The sequence below is a fragment of the Homo sapiens genome, chromosome 8 (genome assembly GCF_000001405.40).
Source record: "Homo sapiens chromosome 8, GRCh38.p14 Primary Assembly".
NCBI lineage: Eukaryota > Metazoa > Chordata > Mammalia > Primates > Hominidae > Homo > Homo sapiens.
In genome coordinates, this window is record NC_000008.11 from 117,671,202 (window position 1) to 117,691,115 (window position 19,914).

At 38.0% G+C, this 19,914-nt stretch overlaps 1 long non-coding RNA gene across 6 annotated transcripts in view; it reads right to left on the reverse strand.

Moving 5' to 3' along the window:
- LOC105375721 (uncharacterized) overlaps window positions 1-19,914 on the reverse strand; it is a 121,243-nt gene that overhangs the window by 60,305 nt on the left and 41,024 nt on the right. For 5 of the 6 annotated variants that reach the window (XR_007061069.1, XR_001746050.1, XR_001746049.1 and 2 more), the window contains exon 5: window positions 12,388-12,488. This is a non-coding gene — a long non-coding RNA (uncharacterized LOC105375721). Of the gene's footprint in view, window positions 1-1,645; window positions 2,103-12,387; window positions 12,489-19,914 lie in introns of those variants that run through there. The other variant, XR_007061070.1, reaches the window with a different exon arrangement.

Below are 19,914 nucleotides of genomic sequence, written 5' to 3' on the forward strand. Positions count from 1 at the left end.
CTAAGACAGACAATTTTTGGCTCTAGAGAAAGATCAGAAAGGGTAATATGGTTGTAAAACTGAGGACCTCAGTTAGCCAGGCATCTATGTGGGGTGCTTGGGTGTCAGTGAGAAGTCAGGGAGACATCAAATAGGAGCTGAACCTTTTGTTGTTTCCTGATGTGAGGCCTCCCTACAGGGAATGGAGGGCAAACTTGTAATGACTTACAATCTTTGTATCTTAAAATGTTAGTCCTGGAAAGGAATTAGAGATCATTCTAGTTCAATTCTTTCATTTTACAAAATAGAAAACTAAGCCTCCACCTTACCTTGAAAATTCCCTTCTTCCTGATGCTTAGACCAGGATTATTTCCATTGCACACCATCTCCAATATGCAACTAGTTATTAAGGTCTGTGGGTGCACTTGCATTGAATTATTACTCATACCCACATCTTCCTGACCTGGGTCCAAACCCCCAACATTATAAGTTTGGACTAGTACAACAATCTCATAGTCTATCTTCCTCTATTTTTTTTCTGACCCCTAATCTTCTCTAAACACTGATCCCAGATTAGCCTTCTAAAAGTGTCCACTGAATAATGCCTTATTTGCTCAAAAACCCATTAATGGCTGCTGTGTACAGAAGAGTGGTAGCAATACCTGCCTGCCTTATCTGAGTTATGGTATATTCTCTGTTCCTAAGGGGATGACACTGTATGCCATCATCCCTAGTGTTCCAGTTCTAGAAAGGGATTGACAAAAATGATAAATGCACCACTTTCCTGGGTTTGCTGTTCATCTTAAAAAGAAATCCAATTACAGTTTGCAATTGCATTTTGGTAAAACATAATGAGCTCTCCTTGGAGTTGCCTTATTCAGATCAAATTACTTCTTGGTAATTTAAAGTACATTACATCTCCCAGATACCTCTCAATACACCCACAGTGTTTGAGGCCTTGTGTAACTATTGCACAAACACTGGCCAGTCAACTCTAGATGAGTTCATAACCAAAGGATTATTACATGTTTACCCACATACAAGTCACTCTTCATTTCCCTCATGCAGGGAGGTCAAAGGTCATGTAACTCTGCCAGAGCAAGTTACTTCTCAGGGACTGAAAATGAGAGTTAAGGAGAGCTTTCTTCTAAAAACATTACTGCAGAGAGGTCTAAATGTGTGTGTATGAATGATCAACATTATCAGTCAATGAACTTTCTCGGTCAGTTACTCTCATGTATTGACATAAATGACACTGAGCCATCTGATGACTAATAAAAATGACAAACCCTGAAACATTGACCAAAACTCACAAGAATGACATTTCCTAAAGCATTTCCATTTATAGAAAAAGTTAGAAAAAAGCAAAGAGGAAAAAAAAGTATATGATGAGAAGCTGTAACAGTAAGAGAAAAGAAGTAGACCTGAAACTTTATAAAATGGCACATTGTCCCCTGATTTCTCCAAGAAAGTTCAATATGTAAAATGTCAACAGATCTGGGTATCACTAAAATTTTCTCCACTAATTTCTACAGGCCAGAAAGGTCATCTAAGACTTTAAAAGTGCAGAATGATGTAAGTTTTCGGGAGTATTATTCAGCCAAGAGTCTCATCAAGATAGCTCCCCCCCACTCCCCATGCAATGAGAACAATAGCCCTCAAGAGCTTTTACTCTTGACATTTGCACCTTTATTTACAAGATGGTATGTCATTTGGGCTTTATAAACTTTACATTTATCTTCTTTTTGTTTGTTTTTTCATTTTTCTCTTTATACACACTATATCAATGTATATATTTAGAATTGTTTTTCTTTTTCTTTTATTATTATACCTTAAGTTCTGGGATACATGTGCAGAACGTGCAGGTTTGTTACATACGTATACATGTGCCATGGTGGTTTCCTGCACCTATCAACCCGTCATTTACATTAGGTATCTCTGCTAATGCAATCCCTCCCCTAGCCTCCCACCCCCTTACAGGCCCCAGTGTGTGATGTTCCCCTCCCTGTGTCCATGTGTCCTCATTGTTCAACTCCCACTTATGAGTGAGAACATGCAGTATTTGGTTTTCTGTTCCTGTGTTACTTTGCTGAGATTGATGGTTTCCAGCTTCATCCATTTCCCTGCAAAAGACATGAACTCATCATTTTTTGAGGCTGCATAGTATTCCATGGTGTATATGTGCCACATTTTCTTTATCCAGTCTATCATCGATGGGCGTTTGGGTTGTGGAATTTAATTAAACTAAAGAGCTTCTGCACAGCAAAATAAACTACCATCAGAGTGAACAGGCAACCTACAGAATGGGAAAAAAAATTTTGCAATCTATCCATCTGACAAAAGTCTAATATCCAGAGTCTACAAGGAACTTAAATGAATTTACAAGAAAAAAACAACCCCATCAAAAAGTGGGCAAAGGATATGAACAGACACTTCTCAAAATAAGACATCATGTGGCCAACAAACATATGAAAAAAAGCTTATCATCACTGGTCATTAGAGAAATGCAAGTCAAAACCACAATGAGATACCATCTCATGCCAGTTAGAATGGTGATCATTAAAAATCAGGAAACAACAGATGCTGGAGAGGATGTGGAGAAATAGGAATGCTTTTACAGTGTTGGTGGGAGAGTAAATTAGTTCAACCATCGTGGAAGACAGTGTGGCAATTCCTCAAGGATCTAGAACCAGAAATACCATATGACCCAGCAATCCCATTACTGGGTATATACCCAAGAGATTATAAATCATTCTACTATAAAGACATAGGCACATGTATTTTTATTTCAGCACTATTCACAATATAAGTTTTTATTAAGAAAAAAAACAGAGCCTCTCTGTAAAATTAATCCTTGGTTCTGACATTAGCTACCTGTATATTCTTTTTTTTTTTTTTAAGAATATTTCTTTCTTTTTTTTTAGGTTTTGTGAGGGTCTTTTTTTTTTTTTAACTTCCATAGATTATTGCAGAACAGATGGTGTTTGGTTACATAAGCAAGTCCTTTAGTGGTGATTTGTGAGATTTTGGTGCACCCATCACCTGAGCAGTATACACTGCACCCTATTTGTAGTCTTCTATCCCTCACATTTATCTTCTGATGACTATCTCTATCTCTGCTAGTTTTAAGAAGAAGCCTAGGGGCTGGGCACGGTGGCTCATACCTGTAATCCCAGCACTTTGGGAGGCCGAGGCAGGCGGATCACCTGAGGTCAAGAGTTCGAGACTAGTCTGGCCAACATGGTGAAACCCCCTCTCTACTAAAACTACAAAACTTAGCCAGGTGTGGTGGCAAGTGCCTGTAATCCCAGCTACTTGGGAGGCTGAAGCAGGACAATGCATTGCTTGAACCCAGGAGGCAGAGGTTGCAGTGAGCTGAGATCATGCCACTGCACTCCAGCCTGGGCAAGAGAGCAAGAGTCTGTCTAAAAAAAAAAAAAAATTAGGCTGGTGTGGTGGTGGATGCCCATAATCCCAACTACTCAAAAGGCTGGGGCAGGAGAATTGCTTGAACCTGGGAGGCAGAGGTTGCAGTGAGCCGAGATCATGCCACTGCACTCCAGCCTGGGTGACAGAGCAAGACTCCATCTCCAAAAAAAAAAAAAAAAAAAAAATTAAAAAAAAAGAAGGAGTCTAGGGTGTGAAGGATCTTTGCACAACAGAGTCAACTTCCCTTGTACTGCTCGAATCACATATATACCATTTCTGATAGATAATCCCCAAATGATGCTTTAACATTTCCAATGATTGGCAACATCCATTGTTAGCAGCCTTTTGGGCAGAAGATCAATTTGATTCCAAATTAAATTTGTGCTCTTTTCTGTCTACAGAAAAGAAAGCAAACAATAAGTTAGCAATACTGTAAGTTGGAGAGTCGCAATTAGGTGACTCCTAGAAACAGAAAAATAAATTGCCTTCTATGACTCAGAATGCAAAATAGAAACTACAGGTCAGAACACATGTATATAGAGAAACTTGATGGAGACAGGATGGTTTCTAGGCCAAAAGAAGGTTGCAGGAACCTATCTGAATGTATAATTGTAGTTTTTAGATTATGTCAGTCTTGGGATTGGGGGTAAAGAAAGAGATACATAAGTTGGTACATAAGTCATTCAATTATGAAAACAAGCAAAAAAAGGAAGTCACCAGGGCCAACATTGTCAGTGCCCAGCCAAACACCGTCTAGGGAGAAGAGGGCCTTTGCTATTAGAGCATTTTAATCTATAGGGCAATATAATTCCAGTGGAGATGGATAAAGACTGGATTTTCGATGGCTCTCTGATTCAATTAATTTATGATAAAATAGAAGGCTAAAGTTAACATACCTTGATGATATAAAATATCTGTATTATCTTGTTCCCTCTGCCAGGATCATCAGTTAGACCCATCTCTATCTCCTTTTTGACTGGCTCATGATGTTTTCCCTCTCAGATCTCAGATGTGAAGTCATTTCCTCCCTGGAAGTCTTTTCCAATATACCTAATCCAGATTTGTTGATTCTCCTATATATTTGCATTGCATTCTGCACTTCCTTTATCCTATCCCTCCTTATCTAGTATATCATTATCTGCTTTTAGGTAGTTAAGTATCTCCTTAAGATTCCTAATATCAGGGCCTACGTATTACAGAAGTCTGGTCCATATTTGTATCTCTCAATTTTATAATTTGCATGACAAACAACTTGATTCTTTCCAATTCTATTTGCAAGCTTTACAAAGTTTCTTGGGGAAAAGAAGAGGTGGGATGGGCATTTGAAGTTGTGAGTTAATCTGATCATTAAAATTATGAATATAAAAAAATTATTTTAGCAACTTTCAAAGGTTCTGTTGAAGACTTAACTGCTTTTGCTGCGTATACAACCTGTTAGAAAAGAAAATGAATGAAAGAACTGAAAAACGCTCTCCCAAATTACCCTATAAGAAAGGATGATAAATTTTAAAATGAGATGGTAGAAAGAATGCAATCAGAAAGCAATCAAGCAGGTTCCACTGGTAAGGAATAGAGAAACGAATGGTAAGAATTAGAAGACGAGAAGGTAACGCTGGAGGAAAGATGGGTAGAGAAAGCACAGCAGAGTGCCTTCTGGCAAAGAAATGTCAAACCTTCTGATGACATAGGACCATTTTATGCTGACTGCTAATAATTTAAAAGATCATACTTTAGGAAGGAATGATGCTAGTTCCTCAAAAAGGAAGAAACTCATCAAGGTAGTTTGTAAAGTCTAATGGGCTCAGACCTGGCCGGGCAACTGGGTGGGTTTGTGGTCTTGAAACATACATCCAGGATGTGGCAAAGAGTCTGACAAGACTCAGCAAGCCCACAAATTGCTACTCACTTTTGATGATTAACTGTGGAAAAATGACAAAGTTGGGGGAAAAAACTGAAATGTGTCTCTCAAAATTCCATGGTTTTGGTTAGAAATCAAAAGATGAGCAACGCCTTTATCCCTCTTTATCCCTTCTTCCAGTTATTTTTGAGACTGAAGAAAGAAAAGAAGACTTCAAAGTTTAAGCTACACAGGACAAAGACAGTGCCCACTGTGCTCATCACCATAAGCCCAGAGCCTAGTATGGAACCTGGAAAACAAGTACTTCTCTGATTGAATGACTGCAGACAGTGAATAAATGGCTACATAGATTATATAAAAGACGATGAGTTTGTTTACTGGTTTAACTATGGTTTAAGTTTTTAAAGTAGAAAGGCAGAATACAAATGGGGTAAAAACTGCAACTCCAGATTTCAGTGAGGACAGAGTTTAAAGAGTACCTCATTCGTTTAATAAGTTTTAATCAATAATACAAAGAGAATTGCATTCTGGCATACTAAAGAAACTCACAGGTATAATCTCAGCATGATTGCTAACATTCAAGGAATTATGAAAAATGAAAGAGGCTTCAAAAGTATAGAGATAGGAAAATATTACTGAGAATATTAGAAGTGGGGAAGGTAAGTTGGATATTAGAAATGACAAATAGATAAGTTTGATGTTCATCTATACCAAATTAACAATTAGTTGTTTTCTGAACATCTAGAAAAGATGATGGTGATTATGAGGAGCCATCAGTAAAGACCCCCCAAACAATTCTAAAATTAGCTTGAAAGTATATGTGTAGCATTATTAATGAATATTCTTAAAATAGCTATGAAGAGAAATTAGACTTATGAGATCTGTTTTAAAACTTTTTAAAGCAGTAATAATGGAACCCATATGGTAATATTTCAAAATTAAGAAACTCAATCCAGGGAACAGGATAATTTAACATGTGATTTAAAAGATACTGCTATAAAAAATGGAAGTAGGAAATACCATATGATATATGGGGTTAAGATAATAGTAACAAGAGAAAATAACATAGATATGTTTCAGTAAATTCCAAGAATCTTAAGTGTTTTAATTAGTCAAATAAATCCAGAAGACACAGATTAAACATTTATACCATTAAGAAGAGATGATCACTTTGGAGAGTTTGAGTAATCAAATATACATTTTATATAATAAATATTTATTAAGCAACTACTCTGTAGCAGGTACTATTCTAGGTATTAGAGAATTACTGGTGAACAGGATATCCAGGGTCCATGCTGCCAAGAAGCCTATATTCTAGAAGGAAAAGACAGGCAATACTAGGTAAATGGATTAGGAAAGAAAATAATTCTAGAGAGTGATCACATATTAGAGAAGCCATTATAAAATGTACATAAAATAAAAAAGAAATATAACCAAATAAGAAAATATGTGCATCAAAAACGACAGAAAAGAACAATTCCTTAATAACCTCAGAACACATACCTATATTTTTAGAAATTACCCTTAGGATTCCAATAACTAAGTGATCATGTCTCAAACAAACAAAATTTACACAAGAGAAAATACAAATAGGAAACAAATGTCTGGGAAAATGTTCCAACTAACATGTAATCAAGAAATGCAAATTTAAGCAACTTTTTAACATCTGCTAAGTTTAAAAAAAAAGTTTGAAAAAATAAAAACCAGACTTACAGGAAGAATGACAACATAAACGTAGTCTCTGCTCCCCTCCAGGAAAACGGCTGAAATTACCAAAGTGGAGGGAGATGGGGTGGGGGTAGGACATCAGCCGTGAACCAGGAATGGTGCCAACCACATGTCAAGCACAAAGTGAGGAATTTCTACCAGTTTCAATACCAACTGTAAAAAAGAATAACAACCTTTCCTCAATGGCAGTTGCAAGAAAGGAGAGAAGGAAACTATGGTGAAATTCATCAGCAGGTCACAAGCAGATGACAGACGGCCATATGTGGAGTCCTTCTCCCTATGCTTGGAGACAATCCACAGCTCTGGTGTCAAAGAGAAGAGAAAGCAACGAGCCACTCCTAGCCATTTTTCACATATGTGGCAACTTACTAGTGGAGGTAGTCAGTTGAATATGGGCTGGTGTGGGGTGTGGGGTGTGGGGTGGAATTTCTGTAAGGTCTAGGCATCCTGTTGGAGAGATGAGGATTGATCAAATATAAATAACAGAAGGAAAGGCAGGTGTTTGGGAGAATACACTTCTAGCCACATCATTCAGGAAACCCATAGGCCAAAGACTTTTTCTCATAAATGAATTACTTCTAGCAGTGTTTCTTTGCCCTAAGCCTGAGGCTCAATACAGGTCTGGAAAGACCTTCCCCAAGTGACTGGATACACCTCCAGCTCAGTGAGGCCACCCCTTCTGCAGAAGTTTCAACAGAGAAAAATTATGCCAAGTACCCAGGTTTTCAATGCCCATGGCTCAAGAAGCATTTCTATCATTTTTTAGGTTTGAATGAAGACATATTTGCTCATATGATGTTGCCTCATCCATCCCTCCACTTACTTTCTATGGGGAGGAGCCCAGTGGTACCCAAATAACTAGAGAAGAAAGATTACCTATTTGCATTATTTAGGAACAAATAGCAAGCCTGAATAGAACTTCTCACAGAGATAAATAAGGAGAAAACACCAGTATGGATCTAAAAAGACATCACAGAGTAAGGGGGGACTATTTAAGCATGCAGCATCTAGAATCAGAATCCCAGCTCTACCATTTACTAGCCATGCAACTTTAGGCAAGATAATTAACCTTTCTATGCCTCATTTATAAAATAAGGGTCATCATCACAAAGATTAAATCAGTATGTAAAATACTTTCCCAAATATCCACATGGTAAATGTTAGGTATTGCTATCATTGTCCCTATTTTATTATGTCTAAGCAAAAAAAATGCAATTAATAAAGACAATAAACTTTGGATACATCATTAATGCTTTTTTTAATCAAATATTTCTGGCTAGTCTTCCAGACAGATGTACTTTCTGTCTCCTTTAAGTTAGGCAGGATGGTGTAACTTGTTTTGATCATTAAAATGGGAATTAAAGTCATAGTTTAACTTCTGGGAGCTAAATCACCTGAGTTCAGGAGTTCAAGACCAGCCTGACCAACATGGTGAAACTCCATCTCTACTAAAAATACAAAAATTAGAATTAGCCCAGCATGGTGGCACACACCTGTGGTTCCAGCTACTCAGGAGGCTGAGGCAGGAGAATTGCTTGAACCCAGGAGGCGGAGGTTGTAGTGAGCCAAGATCGCACCATTGCACTCCAGCCTGGGCAATAAGAGTGAAGCTTCGTCTCCAAAACAAACAAACAAACAAACAAAAAGTTGGTGTGTGAATTCATCAAGTGATTTCTTTCTCAATCATAGCAACCTTCTACATGGTGGCAGCCCCATCAGCTTGTATGCTGAAGTGAAGATAACTTGAAGCAGAGCCCCAATCAATAGCTAAAGCATGAGTGAGGAAAAAAAGCTTTATTATACTAAGCCACTAAGAAGTCAAGGTTATTTATTACTGCAGCACACTGTAGCCTATACTGACTGATACAGAAGTAAAAGGTAAAAAAGAAAATGTTTTCAAAAACTTACTTCCAGAAAACAGTAGAGTGTTTTGGACAATAATTGCTGTATAGACCTAGAGACAGTAATGATAAAATAGGCAGATGAAGCAACAGCTGAAACATGACAAGTCGAGATATCCAAATGAGATTAACGGTGAGGCAGCAAAGTCAAAGAAAAAACGATTGGGAAATAATTGTGGCAAAAGCTTGGGCAAAACTAAAGGATCATGTATCATCATGTTGAAGTTAGGCCCTACCTCACAGTTTAGAAAGAATCACAGAGCTTTTATAGCCCAAGGATTGCTACAAAAATGTTCATTGAAGTGTTTCTTAGAGTAATTAAAAAAAAAACTGAAGGAAATCTAACAACTAAGAGTAGAGAATTTGTTCAATAAACCTGTGCAAATCTTTGTACCTTTATAACATCACTGTCCAATAGATCTTTCCACACTAATGGAAATGTTCTATGTCTGTGTTGTATTATGCAATACAGTAGCCACTAATCACATGTGGTTATTGAACATTTGAAATGTGGCTGGCATGACTGAAGAAACTGAATTTTTAAGGTATTTGATTTAATTTTAATTTAATTTAAATAGCCACATTGGCTGGTAGCTTCCAAATTGGACAATCCATATTTTTTTTCTTCAATTTTTGTTTTAAGTTCTGGGGATACATGTGCAGGATGCACAGGTTTGTTACATAGGTAAACATGTGCCATGGTGGTTTGCTGCATAGGTCAACCCACGACGTAAGTATTAAGTCCAGCAACCATTAGCTATTCTTCCTGATGCTCTCCCTCTCCCACATCCTTCTGACAGGCCCCACTGTGTTTTGTTATCCCCAAAGTGTCCATGTGTTCTCATCATTCTGCTCCCACTTATAAGTGAAAACATGCGGTGTTTGGTTTTCTGTTCCTGTGTTGGTTTGCAGAGGATAACAGAACAGCCCATATTTGAAACGATGGCATAGATCTGTATTTGTTAGCAATAAAAATGTTCATAATTTATTGATAAGATATTTTAGAGAGCAGTTAAAATTAACTTATTTGTGTGTGTGCATGAGTGTATTTGTGCAAATACATACTAACTGAGGACTCCACACCAAAATGTCATCATTGGGTACTGGATAATGGCAGTATGGATGATTTTTCTTTCTTCTTTAAATCTTTTTGGACTGTCTATGGTTTTCAAATAAGATTGCAGTACTCTTATATACAGAAAAGTAAAACTGTTTTTCTTTCTTTTTTTCTTTTTGAGACAGAGCATCCCTCTATCGCCCAGACTGGAGTGGAAGGGTATGATCATAGCTCACTGCAGCCTCAAACTCCTGGGTTCAAGTCATCCTCCTGCCTCAGCCTCCCAAATAGCTGGGACTACTACAGGCACATGACACCATGTCTGGCTAATTTTTTTTTACTTTTTATTTTTTGTCTTCCTATGTAGCCCAGGCTGGTCTCAAACTCCTGAGCTCAAGTGATCCTCTCATCTTGGCCTCCCAAAGCATTGGGATTACAGGCATAAGAAACTGAGCCCACCCCCCATTTTCATTTAAAAAAATAAAATTATTGAAAGCTAATGCTTGTAATGCTGCAGGAAAACTGTTGATGTTATTACAAATTGATATAATTATTTTGAAAAATGTTAAATAGATTTCCACCTCAAAAATGTATTTTAAGATAACTCTCAAAAGAAGGAAGAAAGATTTACTCAAAAATCCTGTCCCTAGGGAATAATTATTTCAATTATTTTGCAACAGATTAATTACAACTCTCTTAAAATGTGTCTGCAGATTATAACAGAAAGTGAAAAGGGAATCATGTTAAAAGCTGATTTAAGACAGTGGAAAGTTATCTGTTTTTATTTTCCTTTAATATTTTAATACTACTCTCAATAAATCTCAATAAATCTCTGTACAAGGGCCAGTACATCAGAAGAATAAGCAGCGCTAACCACTAAAACGTAATTCCCTGGTTCTCAGTGACTCAACACAGTTGAGGTTTAGCAGTTGTTTACATCATATTCTGATGCAGTGAAGCCGATGCCCTGGACAGCCATCTTCTGAATGGTAACTGTTTTCATCCCTTGGCCTCCACAGTCATCATGAAAGAGAGGAGAGAGCATGGAAGATTGTGCAGGGAGTTTGATGACCAGGTCTCAAAGTGGCTTCCATCACATCTGTTTACATTCCATAGACCGGCATCTAGTCACATAGCCCAGACTAAACTGCAAGGAATGTTGCAAAACATAATCCTTCTCTATGCCCAAGAAGAAGAATGGTGTCTGGGAGCATTCTAGCCAGTCTCTGCAAAACTTACATCAAACCAAATTCATTTGCTTTCTTAATAAGTTTATTAAGCAGGTTGATGGATGCTGCTATTGGAGGGCCCAATATTATATTTTGGAATTAAAAAAAATACAAATGGCCAACAGGTATGTGAAAGTATGTTCAACATCACTAATCACCAGGGGAACCCAAATCAAACCACTATGAGATATTATCTCATACTTGTTAGGATGGCCACTATATAAAAATAAAAGATAACAAGTACTGTCAAGGATGTGGGGAAATTGGAACCCTTGCACACTGTTGGTGGGAATGTAAAATGGGGCAGCCATTATGGAACACAGTATGGAATTTCTTCAAAAAATTAAAAATAGAACAATCATACGATCCAGCAATTCTACTTCTGCATATTTGTCTAAAGGAATTGAAATCAGGATCTCAAAGAGATATCTGCACTCCCATGTCCATGGCAACATTACTCACAATAGCCAAGATGTGGAAACAACGTAATTGTTTATCAAACAGATTAACAGATAAAGAAAATGTGACATGATATCCATACATATTATTCAGCCTTAGAAAAAGGCAATCCTGTCATTTGTGCAATACAGATGAAACTTATGGGCATTATGTTAAGTGAAAAAGGCTAGTCATGAAACAACAAATACTATGTGATTCCACTTACATGAAGTACCTAAAATAGTAAGACTTATAGAAGGACAAAATAGAATAGTGGTTTCCAGGGTCTTCAAGAAGAGGGAAATGGGGAATTGCTCAACAGGTATAAAGTTTCAGTTACGTAAGGTGAATAAGTTCTAAAGATCTGCTGTATAACATTGTGCTTATAGTTGACAATATTGTACTGTATACTTCAAAATTGTTGTGTTCTTACCACAATAAAATTTTTAAAAATCCCTTCATATCACTCTTATTCAGCATCATACTGCAAGTCCTAGCTAGTGCAATGAGACACTAAAAACCACAGATAATCAAAAGCATAACACAATAATGACATAAGCTTATACCACTCAGAATCAACCATTCTTAACATTTTGTCGTATAACATTTTTGCTATAATATCATATTGCATTGTATATATCACTCTGCACATTGCTTTTGTCATCAATGTGTTTTAAGAGCCAGTGTTCCTACTTAGCATTCCAGTTCATTTCTTTTACTTACAGCAATATAGTTCATTTTATAAGTATACTATATGTATCTATTTACCTGTTACTTTATATCGTGGTTATTCCCATTTTTCTCTATAACCATTCTGCAAGGAACATCCTTCAGCATGTCTTTTTATGCAGATGTGAAATGACACATGCCTAGAAGGGAAATTGCAAGATCAAAAACACTCATTTTTTTGAACATTATAAACATGTATAACTTGTAGACATGAATGAAAATATAAAACACATGTATATCAAATTTGTAGATGACACAAACTCAGAAGGGAGAGATGTTATGATAAATGACAAAAATCAGTGTTCAAACTTTTCATAAGTGAGAATACTGGGCCATAACTAAGAAGATGGAATTTAAGAAAGATAAAGATAAAATCTTGCATTTAGTTGAAAGAATTAAATGCCCATTGCAAAAAGGCCGCGTTATTACTTGACAGCAATTTATTTGAAAAATGTCTGGGATGTTAGTTGGCCTCTTCTTTGCTGTGAGCTAACAGTGTGACACTATTTAGACCCAAAAAAATGTAGAAAGACAGTCCCAGATTTATGATAGTTCCACTTAACTATTTTTCAACTTTATGATGGTGCAAAAGCAAGACACATTCAGGGGAAACCATACTTTGAGTACCCATAGAATCACGGTTTTTCCTTTCCAGTCAAATATTCAATAAGTTACATAAGATATCCAACACGTTATTAAAAATAGGCTTTGTGTTAGATGATTTTGCCCAGCTGTATGCTAATTTAAGTGTTCTGAGAATGTTAAGTTAGGCTAGGCTAAGCCAAGATGTTTGGTAGGTTAGGCGTATTAAATACATTTTCTGCTTACAACACTTTCAACTTACAATGGGTTTATCAGGACATAACCCCTCCATAAGTTGAGAAGCATCGTATTTATACAGCTATATTCATAGAAGAAAGTTTTGGAGGGTCTCAACGTTAACCTTAATTTTATTCTACCAAGTCATAACTCTATAGTGTTCAAATAAAACCAACTTATATTAACATAAGGAAAAAGAGAAAGCAGTCGTTTCACATACTACACTGCAGAGAGGATGGGTTTGGAGTAAGGCTAGAAGTAAAACCAGAGCTCCAAACGCTGCTGCAACTCATCCCTTTTACTGCCTCCCATCAATGTATCTCTCTGCCTACTGTATGTATTCTCTGAGCTACCAACCACATGAAGCTGGCTATGGCCTAAAGAAGATCTAGATCGGGGGGTCCAATCTTTTGGCTTCTCTAGGCCACACTGGAAGAAGAATTGTTTTGGGCCACACATAAAATACACTAACACTAATGATAGCTGATGAGCTAAAAATAAAGAAAAAAATCACAAAAATATCTCATAATATTTTAAGAAAGTTTACAAATTTGTGTTAGGCCACATTCAAAGCTGTCCTGGTCTGTGGGTTGGACAAGCTTGACCTAGATGATCCTCATCTGCAGCTTCAATTCATGAACTCCCAGGAGGGGTCTCTGCTTGGCCCAGCACAGGTCTTTTGTCAACTCCTTTGACAAATCAGGATGGCAGCCAACTTCAGAATCAATGGTTGGAACAGGAGAGGTACAACCTATAGATAGCCTTAGGAAGATTGTAGTTGACCAGGAAGCCCAATTTGTATCTTCCAAAGTTATTGTCCTTCATCTTGGAGTCACTGGGTATGTAGTTATCTGCAGACATGCTTAAACACTTAACTTCCTTTGCTTAGAAACCTCTCCTGATTCTGTTACTCTTAGGCTGTGTGGTCAACATCACATAAACAGTGAGCCCTCGATATTTAACAGACAAATAAACCCAAATACATATTTTATTCACTATGTGATTTTTTTTTCCTCCTGGGTTTTATATTTTTAAGATTCATAAAAATAAAATAGTTACTTATGTATCATGGCAGGTATCAAGAAATGTACTCCCATCAGCTGAATGGGGCCCTTGTAATAATTGCAGCAGATATAATCAGTATGCCTGCCTAAACTGTGAGTCTGGATCATTACCAAACTTGATAGTTACTGAGCTCTGACTGTGTGCAACACTATAGGTGTGGATCTACACTAGAGGATTTAAAACCTCACAGAGCCAACCAAACTGCAAACAACTGGGGAAGATGGATCACATGCAGAGGAAAGACTTAATCAGCTGAAGTTTCTGAGTAGTAGTCCCTGATTATCATCACATCTTAAGAGGGGGCCGCAATAGAATCCAGACAAGAAAAGGATATTCAGAATAAGTGAGATTTCCAATAAGACATAAAGGAGAAAAAGCAATTTGGCTAAAAAGAGAAAGAGACCTAGGATACAGATTCCCATTTGGAGTATTTTGCTGCACACTTTATATCAGGGGTCTAAACCCAGACTCAGAGGCAGAATCGTATGGAAAACCGACAAGATCAGGATCTTGGGTCCTAACTTGAAAAATTCTTATCCAATTCATCTGAGTGGAGTTTTGTGATTTATACTTTTAATAATAATTGTAGCTGATAATCTATAGCACTTACTACATGGCAGACCCTTCATTTAAGTGTTTTATATGTAATATTAACTCTCTAAGTCCTCATTTTAGCCAATGTATTAGGAACTGTTATTATCATCCTTAATGATGTGAAAACTGAAACCCAGAGAAGCAAAGTAACTTGACTAAGGCCATGCAGTGTTGGGATTTGAACCCATGTAGTTGGGCTTCAGAATCTGCTAATCACTTTGTTCTGCAGATTCTCAAAAAATAAAATAAAATAATGACTATGAAACTTGCAGGCAATTGTGATGAATTCAGTGTTGAAACCACTGCATTCTAACACATTCAAAAATTATTATGTACTGAGCACTGCTTCAGGATAGAGGCTCTATTATTCAAAGCCTGGCATATAGTAGATACAGAATATTGTTGGATATATTCCAAACAGAAGGAGTCCTTAGAAGCAAGATTTTGTATAGGGAAATCTGTTGGGCCTGCCTGCTACCGCAGAAAGGAAGTGGGGCAAACTGAGTGACTCATATCATGTTTTCTGTCCCCATTATAAGAAAGTGCCAAGAATCAGAATAAGAGACGCATCATTCTGACCCTACCTTTAAAGCTCTGCCCAGCCCCTTAAATCTGTGCCGCTTATGCCCACACACTACCTTAATTATTTGGAGAAACAAGACTTTCAACTTTTCTCTTTCAGCTCATCCTTTTCTTCAGTTCCATCCTTTTTTTTTTTTAAAGTGGTGTGATCATGGCTTACTGCAATCTCAGCCTCCTGAGTTCAAGTGATTCTCCTGCCTCAGCCTCCCAAGTAGCTGGGATTACAGGCACATGCCACCACACCCAGTTAATTTTATATTTTTAGTAGAGATGGGGTTTCACCATGTTGATCAGACTGGTCTCCAACTCCTGACCTCAGGTGATCCACCCACCTCGGCCTCCCAAAGTGCTGTGATTACAGGTGTGAGCCACTGCACCCGGCCAGTTCCATCCTTTTTAGAAACACCATGGAATATTAAGAGGATGTGAAACTCCAAGCAGTTGATTTCTCTGCTTATTTAAAGTGAAGATAAATGGCTTGTACATGATAAATATTTTTGGATGGATGGATGGGAGAATTAAACAAAGAGAATTAAACAAAGAATTAAACATTGAATAGAAACCCAGTGGTAGATCACTGTCCATGTCTCCTATGGGTCTGTCAGGACTGGCTGTCTTACTGGTAACATGCAATACGGTGTTATAATTAAGTGCACTGTCTTTGGATTAGGTGGCTTAGGCTCAGTCCTCCTTCTACCACTTACTAGCTGTGTGATCTTGGGCAAGTGACTTGTCCTCTCTAAACTTCAGTGTATTGTCTTTAAAACTAGAAATAATAATAGCACTTAAACTAGGGGTAATAACAGCATCAACCCACAAAGGTGTTGTGAAATAATGTACCTGCTAAGTACAATGTTCAATGCATAAAAATGCCCAATTAATAGCAATTATTTCACAGGAAATAATATCAGGTTTGGTGGCTTGAAACTTGCCTTCCAATATCTTTTGGGGTAAAACTTGACAGGCATTTTTTTCTTCCAAAAGGCAAGACTTTGGGGAACATGAGAGGCAAATGGCAGATTTTATTTAGACTGGCAAGGAAGAAAGAAAGGGAGAGAGGGAGGAAATATAAAAAGATAACCTTTCCTCTTCTGAAAATCACACATCAATTTTTTTTTATACAAAATAGGGTCCTTCTCTATCATCCAGGCTGGAGTGCAGTGGCATGATCATAGCTCACTATAACGTCAAGCTCCTGGGCTCAAGTGATCCTCCTGCCTTGGCCTCCCAAAGTGCTGGAATTACAGGTGTGAGTCATCACACTGGGTCATAACATTTCTTTATATTCATGTGACTCCAAAGGTTTAGCTACCAGTGATGAAGTTATCCCAATTACAATTCTTAGACAGGAAAGGAAATGCAGTCAACTTCTGAGAAAATGGGTTGACTCTCTAGAAAGTCTGGAGGGTGTAAATGGCCCATGTTCTGAAGAGGGAACATTTCAAGCTTATGAGCTAGGCTCACCTCAACCAAAGAGCTCAGCTAATACAATATATCCTTAGAGCTTAGTTTGTTTCTGGACATTTGGATTATTTATTTATTTAAGTATTTATTTTAGTGCATCAGAATCAATGTAGTACATCAGAATCAATGTAGTACATCAGAATCAAAGAATTGAACTAAAATGAAAATCAAAGAATTTTAGTGCATCAGAATTAGTATAGCACTTTGAAGTTAGACAAACCTTAATTTGAATCCCAGCTCTAACATTTAATAGTTGCATGACCTTGGGCAAATTGTTGACAGCTGTACACTTCAGTGTGTTTGCGTGTAAAGGGGAGGTGATACTGTTACCTTTTACATCCACATGTTGGGATGATTAAACAAGGTCATATGTATAAAGCACTCTATTCAAGACCTGACATACAGTAAGCACTCTATAAATATTGGCTATACTTATGTCTCATTGATATTATTATTTTCATAATGTTTCTTGTCTACTTCCTTAATGAAGTGCGTAATACTCTTCTTGGGCATTAACACAGGCTCCACCTGGCCTGTAAGTGAAACAGGGAGAGCCCTAGGCTTTTGCTTTGTTTTGCACAGAGCCTGCACAGAGCCCACCCAAGTAAACAAAATCTCCTCTTCTTTCTCTCCATTTTAATTTTTCTTTTATTCCATGCCCTATGAATAGATTAGTTTCTTTCTCTCTCTTTGCCGAAATACCTTCAGGCCTCCTCTCCTCCCTTCAGGCAAAAGTCCTTAAAACCTCCACTTTCCCCCAGTAATATTTTTCTCCAACTAACTGGAAGTGGAGAAAGATTTTCCTCTTTGTCTAGCACTGATTTTTGACTTGTAATTCCATTTCAACAAAACCACTTGCACTAAAGCTTACACACAATGTAAATAATTCATTAGAAATATATATTTGCTTGATGCTTATATACTTGCAGTGCATCTGCAGAGTCTATTGTATCAGTCAAGGAAATAACAGGACTCCCAGTCACCAAGGTGAATGGAAAATTTTCCTCTTTAAATAGGTAAAAATTTAAGTTGCATGCAAATTAATCTTGGAAATACAGAATGCTAACATAGCAGGGGACTTTAAAATGTGTATATTCTAACACTCTCTATAAATGTGGAAAATAAGTCCCAGAGCATGGTAACATGGCCATAACAGGCCTTGTAGCATTCTGGAATTTAAAAGGCTAGGTGCATAGAAGGGAAAATAGATACGAATGGCAAAGGCAGGTACATAATGCCTAAAACCAGGATGTGGTGTAGCAGTTACCATCGTCATCATCATCATCATCACAATGACAATCAATGGTAATGGCTACAATTTGGGAATTATGATCTTGGCACTAAGCAGAGGTCTTTACATTTATCTAGAAAGATGACCATGGGTAACACTGCATAAGACTGACTGATTTAGACTTTGAGAATTTTGCCAGTTTTGGGTGGCTGTGAGATATCTTGTCTGACCATAGGGCTAGATCATACAGCTACAAGAGAAGGTGGGATTTCTTCAGAAGGGAATGGACATTGCCACTGTAGTTCATCCCAGGCATTTTTCAACCTGGAAAGGGAATAGCTACACTCCAGTTAGAGGTCCTAGGCCAAGGCAAAGGAGAATCTCCTGCCCCACTCTGGCACCGAGAACCAGTTTGGTTTCTACTCCAAGGATGGGTGATATCTGAATTCCTCCCTGTGTGGTGGGAACCTACCATGGGCTCCATAAGAGCAGGCTAGGAATAAGGTTCATTGAAGGATGCCAAATAAAAAATCTTGTGGCATGTATAAGTTGTCCTCTGTGGTGTTTTTCAGTTCCATGCCCCAGGACTTCAAGACACCGATCTGCAATTGTGCCAGAGGATGTTAGAGAGGCAACTATGCCCTTGCTTGGGAGAAAACCACATGAGCAGACCATGTCTTTTCACCCAAGGCCAGAGGAGAGGAAGCAGAAGACACATTTCCCGGTGCCTGATTATTCCTTCCTCCAGGGCTTACGGTTGTCATTTTGGGCCATCTCACATAGAAGAGGTACCCAAATGTTTGTCATCTCTCCCTGAAAGCGTGTCTAGTCCTCAAATAGAGGAAAGCCATCACTATCTCTCTGCCTTCTCCATCGAGACCAAAAAGGAAGATACAAGCTGGGAACTAGATTTGAATATTTCTTGATACTGGAGAGGGGCAGGGTGATGTGATCTCTGGTGAGTTTCCTCCTCAAGCAGGGGTGCGGGTAGCCTGGGTTTCCTGGGCCCAGATTTCAAACCTGTGTCAGCTGTAGCTGCACACAGAGTGCCCAGAGCTGTTGGGTGCAGCTTAGGTATGGCAGTATCAGTCATCTCCACACCTGCTGCAGAAAGTCTCAGGACAGCACTGTGAGTGGGGCTGGGGAATCCGGAGAAGAAAGTTCTATAAGCACAACACGGTTTACTTTACAGACAGCTTGCTACCACATAACGATTTGGGTACAACCCATGAAAGGAGCCCCGCGGGAGTAGAAGAGGGTATCTCCATGTCTCTCTAGGAGACGAACAAGCAATATCCACTGGAATCCAGAGGCTAAAAATTGTGATGTCCCAGGCCTAAGCTAGACAGAGCAGAGAATGGGCAGGACTTGCCCCTAAAGTATGGGCAGTTAAACAAGAGGAGGAAAGAAGAAAAAAAGAAAAGAAAGGAAACACTAGGCCCAAATTGATTTACCGGTGAATTCTACCAAATATTTAAAGAAGAATTTAAACCAACTCTACATTGCTTACCAACTCTTTCTATGAGGCCAGCATTATTCTGATAAAGCCAGACAAAGACATTTCAAAAAAAAAAAAAAAACTATAGGCCCATATTCCCCTTGAAAATAGATCCAAAAATTCTTAAAATATTTAGCAACAAAATGTTATGGTCCAACAGGGCTTTGATCCGAAGAAGTCCAGGAGAAAGAGACAATTCAGGAAAAGAGGCAGCAAAAGGAAATGTGGGAAACTTGGCCCAAAGAAGGTTTGAAGCAGACGATGGATGGCATTGCCTGGAAAAATTGCCTGAGTGTCTGATCCTAGGGGCCAG